This window comes from Homo sapiens, chromosome 20 (genome assembly GCF_000001405.40).
Source record: "Homo sapiens chromosome 20, GRCh38.p14 Primary Assembly".
In the NCBI taxonomy this organism is placed as follows: Eukaryota; Metazoa; Chordata; class Mammalia; order Primates; family Hominidae; genus Homo; species Homo sapiens.
Genome location: NC_000020.11, coordinates 37,873,575 through 37,879,574, shown reverse-complemented (window position 1 = coordinate 37,879,574; position 6,000 = coordinate 37,873,575). Strand labels below are relative to the sequence as shown.

General features: G+C 54.7%; 2 annotated features.

Annotated features, from left to right (window-relative positions):
- Positions 2,074 to 2,574: an enhancer, noted in NCBI's record as "H3K4me1 hESC enhancer chr20:36505403-36505903 (GRCh37/hg19 assembly coordinates)". NCBI's record gives its function as "activates a minimal SCP1, AML or CMV promoter by ChIP-STARR-seq in primed H9 embryonic stem cells {active_cell/tissue: H9 hESC(primed)}" and the evidence as "EXISTENCE:reporter gene assay evidence [ECO:0000049][PMID:30033119]".
- Positions 2,575 to 3,075: an enhancer, noted in NCBI's record as "H3K4me1 hESC enhancer chr20:36504902-36505402 (GRCh37/hg19 assembly coordinates)". NCBI's record gives its function as "activates a minimal SCP1, AML or CMV promoter by ChIP-STARR-seq in primed H9 embryonic stem cells {active_cell/tissue: H9 hESC(primed)}" and the evidence as "EXISTENCE:reporter gene assay evidence [ECO:0000049][PMID:30033119]".

Here is a 6,000-nt window from a genome sequence, read left to right as displayed (position 1 = left end):
GACAGTCATCTACTCTCTTGGGGCCTCTGCTCATTTGTAAAACTGGATACCTGCAAGGTATGCTTTGCCCCAGCTCTGCTGTTCCAGGAATCCCTGTGTTGAACACTGCTTCCCCTGAAACTCATCTGCATTAGGTGGGGGCAGAAACTGTCATGCCCATTTCCCAGCTGAGGGGAGTGAGGCCCCTGGTTTTCAGTGACAAGCCACAGCTCTCTGCCGCCTCTTGCCTGTTCAATGTGGGAGTGGGGCAGGGAAGGCCCAGGCTCTCCTGGGCCCCAGGAAGGCCTGGGGAGAAGGGTCTGGGTCTGGACTCTCCAGCGAGTGGGGCTGAGCCGACTCAGAGTGGAGGCAGGGCTGAGGGTGGGCGGGCAGATTTATTGCAGCCATTCCTCTCCCCTGCAGCGCCTGCTTCTAATGAAATTTTACGGCAGGTGGAAATGATACGACTCCGCCAGCCCTAAAAGCACTTCTATTTATTCATTAAAGATATTTATATACTGAGCAGCTCTCTCTGCTGGCTCCACCCCACTCCTGCGGGGCCAGTGAAGTTGCTCCCAGCCCTCTGTGCTGGGGGAAGGCTCCCAGGGCCAGCCAGGGGCCCCTCTCTGCAGTGACTGGTTGGCTCTGCCTCAATACATCCCAAATCCCCTATCTCCAACCCATGCCCATTCCTGGTCTGAAGAACCAGTGTCTGTCTCCTCCTGGTCCAGCGTGCACCAGACACTTCTTGGATCTCTGCTTCCACGCTGGTCTCCACAGTGTCCTCTATAGAGCAGCCACAGGCATCTTTCCAAAATCAAATCATGTCCCTTCCAGGCTCAAAACTCCCCTGAAGCCCTCAAGGCCCTGTAAGATCCGTCCTCTGCCTCACTCTTGGGTCCAGCCACAGTGGCCTCTTTGGACTCTTTTCTAGAGGACGATGCTCTGCCTCAGCTCAGGACCTTTGCACTTGTGCCTCTGCATAGGCCCCCTCATTCCCCGGCTCTTTGGCTGCCTGACTCCTTGACGTCATTCGGAGATTAGCTCAAGCTCTAAGGCCCTCATCAAAGAGGGCTTTCCAGGCCACTCAGCCTGAGGTCCCCCGTTCCTTGTTGCATCCCGCTGCACCTTGGTTGCTCCTTCATAACACTCAGTTGTCACTTGATGTAACTGTTTGCATGTTTGTCTTTTGGTCTGTCGCTTGAGGATGCACGCTCCCGGAGGCCAGGGACAACGTCTGTTTTGTTCCCCTATGTGGCTTATGAGGGGTGTTTAGTAACTGATGGAGCCATGAGTGGTGGAGGATCGGCTGGGTACCGTGACCCAGCCACAGGTACTGGTCTACGTGGGACTCCCCAGGCTGGACACTCGCTGTCATTGAGTGAAGAAGAACTGAGACTGAGTGTGAGGGTCATGCTCGTGGCTCACAGCAGCTGGGCTGAGGGCAGGTGCCCACCCCTGCACTCCTGGGGGTTTCCTGGATGGGGCTGGCTCAAGCAGGCTCCAGGAGCTGCAGGCAGATTGGAGCCTTTTCCAGCCTTTTCTCTAGCCCTGGCCTCTGTCAGTCAGTCCCCTGGTGGCTTTTCCCCAGCTGCTCCCCAGGGGCTGTGGACTTCCTACGGCTCCTCGGTGCTGCCCGGATGGCCCTGCTTGTCACCCTGCAGTGGAATCTGCTTCCCCCTCATTCAGGGACTGAAAGAGCCTAGGGGAAGTAGACACAGGACTTGTCCGGGAACAAGCTCTGTGACTCTGGACCAGCACAACCCCAGAGCCTGTCAGCTTCTGCCATGGCCGGGAGCTCATTGAACCCCCATGCCGTGCCAACGTCAAGGTAGTTGGGGCCTCCAATGAGGCAGCTGAAAGCCCCAAAGTCCCCAGAGCCCTGTGTCTTATTGTGCCCTAGCCCTCTGCCTGGGCAGTTCCCTCTGCCTCAAAAGACTTTCCACCTCTAGCTTTCGAGGCTCACGGCCATCATTAAGACTCTGGTGAAAGTTGCTCAAGACACAGGGTACGTGGTCCCCCAGGCATGGGGCCCTCCTCTGTCCTACAGCCTTTGCTCACCTCTATGAAGCCCCCTGTCACTCTACAGTGATGCCCTGTGTGACTACGCTGAGAGCTCAAACCGCATCTCAAACTTCGGTGTACCCCTCAGCACCCAGCCTGGGCCTGGCACACAGTAGATGCTCAGCAAGTGCTTCCTGGGAGGTGTATGGAAGGAGGCACAACATGGGGTGAGGAGAGCAGACTGGTGGGATGATCTGGACGAGAAGGAACCTGGGCTCTGTGTGCAGGCAGGGGTGGGTGGATGGGGTGGGGGGACAGGCAACAATCCTCACTGCAGCAGTGCCAAACAGTGGCTCTCCTCACTGCTGCAGATGGAAAGCCCCGGCTTCCAGATGTTTCTCAGATTTCCTCCCTTTCCCATGGGAGAGCAGCCAGGGCCACATCCGTGTGACTGCCCATCCCTAGCCAGGAAACCTGGGCTGGGGCCTCCATGCAGGTGAGGATGACAGCCAGGCACCGAGATGTGGCAGGGACAGGCTGAAGGGCGCTGGGCCTCTGCAGAGCCGCACGGGCTTCAGTCATGGGGTTGGGGGAAGGGCTGCCTTGCTGGGGCTTCTGCTCCCAGTGTATTCTGCGCCACCTTCTCCAGCCTCACCAGGCCCTCTCTAGCAACCAGCTGGAAAACAGGGTGGCCCTGAGATTAGGAGCAGGGGTCTGCTTGGGTTCCATTCCCAGCTGTCACTCTAAACCACTGACCCCCTCAGTCTGGTGTCCTCATCTGTGAAATGGACTTGATGAGGCAAGTACCTACACGTCAGGCTGGGTGCTCACGCCTGCAATCCCAGCACCTTAGGAGGCTGAGGCAGGAGGACTCCTTGAGCCCAGGAGTTTGGGACCAGCCTGGGCAACAACAACAAAAGGAAGTACCTACACTTCAGGAACGAGGGTTAAACGAGCTAATCTGAAGAAAGTACTTAGCTCAATGAGTCAAGAGCTCAATGAATATTAGCTAATATGATGCACGCATAATTCGATTCTAGCGCACTAAATGACCTCACTTATAGGAGAAATGCAGATTAAAGCAACAAGCAGGCCACACTGTTCACCCACCGAGGCGAAGCACTGAGCTAACAGCGCGCTGGTGAGGGTGCGTGTGGGCAGAGGACACTCGTGCACGCAGTTGACAAAAGAAGGGCAGTGTGGCAATATATATCACAATGAAAAAGGCACACTGTCTTTGACTTGGCAATGCTCCTTGGGAGTTTAAACTCACACGTGTGTGAAATGACGCCCTACACAAGGATGATCACTGCAGCATCGTAATAGCCAAAGATCGGAAACAGTCTGAATGTCCATTAACACAATTAACAACATCATGGTACAGCTCTGCGATGCAGTGAGCCTATTAAAGGAGTGGGGGCAGCTGTGTGTGGTGACGGGGAATGAGAAGCAAGGTGCACGACAGGACACGATGCCACCATTTGTGTTAAAAATATTTTTATTCACTTGAAAACACATAGGAGTCTCTCTGAAAGGGAAAGGGTACTTCCGCTCATGAGCCGTGGTGGCTTCTGAGGAGGGGTGCTGGGCGGCCAGGAGACACACCTGGCAGGGAGATGCGTGCACTGTGTGCCCTTACGCACCCTCTGAGGTTTACACCAAGGGCACGTGTTACCTAACCAAGAAGGTGACTGAGAAACGCCTGCCATTTTCCCCAGCACAGATAACGAAGGCCCACCGCTGTGCTACCAGCCACTTTCCATGTGTGCCAAAGAGCAAGACAGATTGAAAAATGTGGGTCTGCTTTTACCTCTACTGTTGGGTAAGGAAATCTAATCAAGAAGCCTTGCCTTTAGGAAAGCGAGTCTCGTCTCCCTGTTGACACTAAATTGACGCCCTCAGTAATGGCAGAAGATGCCACCTGTGCACTGGTGCTACCGTGGGGGTGACTGAAGGATGCCTTCCAGCGGCCCTGACAATGCGTCTCCCTAGATAAGGAAGGCACGCAGCCTGCATGCAAATCTCTGTGAATTAGAGACGGCCCATCTTGCTGCTGCTGATTCCAGGCGTGCGACCACCACAAACGGAGCAGCAAGCCGCCATGGAAAATGAGGGTGGAATCCTATTTCCCCTGTGAAGAAACCCTGGCGAATATTGCTAAAAGGCAATCCGATTGCCATGTTTGGGTTGGAAAAGGAATACTGCCTCTCTGGATGCTATGGTCTGGTCCCACTCAGCTATGGACATGAGGATGAACATGAAGAAGCTTTGTTTGAAGGGGCAAATTTAGACTGAGCCCTTTCAGTGGGCAAAGAAGTCAGGTTCGGAGCCACAGGCCAAGGGCAGCCTTTCCTGGAAGCCCAAGAAGCTCCCCCAGAGGAGAGATGCTGCTTTGTGAGTCAGAGGGTTTTTTAGGCAGACAGCGAGCTGCCTGAAAGCTGGGACCACGCCCCAAGAGCCCAGGGTGAGCAATGAGGAGCTCTACCTCGCCCTGAAAAGCTTTGCGGGGCCTTGGGTCGTTGAAATCAGGGAGTGGTGGTGGCTGCTTTCTCCTTACGCTGTCTCCTTGGTCCCTCGGGCCCTGGAACCGTACTCCCCTGCTGCACCCGAAGGGACTACACCTCACATTGCCCCTAACCCTCCGCACACAAAACTAATGGAAAAGGGGACCGCTTCCTCAGTTGTCAAGAGAAGAGTTCCAACTTGCTTTTAGCAAAGGGACAGAATTCAGGAGGCTGCCACATGCGAAGCAGGGCAAGGTGCGGCAACCATGGAGTGCCTGAGCCGCCCCGGCCTTTCCTTCCTATGCTGGCCTCTGGGAGCTGGTGGGTAGCCTGGGCTTCCAAACACGGCTGGCAAAATGCTGGACAGAACTCTGGAGGAGAATCAGATGGCAGCAGCTGCCTCCAGGGGCAGGAAGTCCTAGGCGATGGGAGAGGAGTGGGTGGACTCTTCACTGCCTCGCTTTTTGTTAAATTTTGAACTCCTATACCGTTTGCAAGCATTACCTGGTTAAAATTAAAATTGAAAAAGAAAATCAAGGTGAAGGACTGATGATGTCTAAAGTACCGATCTTAGCTCTAGAAGTCTGCTTCTCTAAGTTACACCTGGACATGCTCTATTTTTTGTGAATTCATTAAACCACACAACAGATGAAAGGATCGGAGCACGGCGTCAGCCGGTACGGTGTGACCCTTCCAGGTAGAGGAGCTCAGCGGGAGAGGGTGTGAACTGCGCCGTCGGACAGGCCTGGCTAGAATGTGCGTTCTGATGCTTGTTGGCCACAGGGCCTTGTGCAGCTACTTACCCTCTCTGAGCCCTCAGCCTCAGCTTGCATAAATCGGGGATAACAATGCCACTGGGCATTCGATATGTGCCAGCTACTACAGTTACAGAAAAGTCAAGGAAGAATTAGACCCAAAGTGACGGCACCGCCATCTGATCCTGTGACAGGCCCTGTCGCGCTCTCCTGCCCCTCTCTGTGGGGACGCTTACAGTTATGCATTGTTCTCCCGCCAGGCTGCAAGTGAGCACCAGCAGGCAGGGCCTGCCTTACTCTCTGTTCCGTCACCAGCCCAAGGCTGGACACAGAGCAGGTGCCATCTTCTTCAGGGACCTCTCGGTGGCTTCCTGGGATGGCAAACAGGTTTCACCCAGCATGTCAACTCTGGCCTGATGGCAGTGGCCGCTTGGGGCCCTGTCCCTCAGGGTCTAGGGAGCAGCAAGAGGGGCAGGGACACAGTGCGAGGCGTGTAGCATCCCCAGCAGCCTGTCTGTGACCCTGGGCTGCACAATGCATTGGAATGAAATGCTGCTTTCTTCATCTGGCCACTCTTCTGCCTCCTCACTCATGGGGACTCTGTTCTTTGAGGATTGATTAAAAACATGCTAAAGCACTGCTGACTTCTGAGGGGGAAACCAACCTTCTCATCACCTATGTCGAATGAGTAGAATCACAGTTCTTTTTTATTTTTTGAGACAGGGTCTTGCTCTGTTGCCCAGGCTGTAGTACAGAGG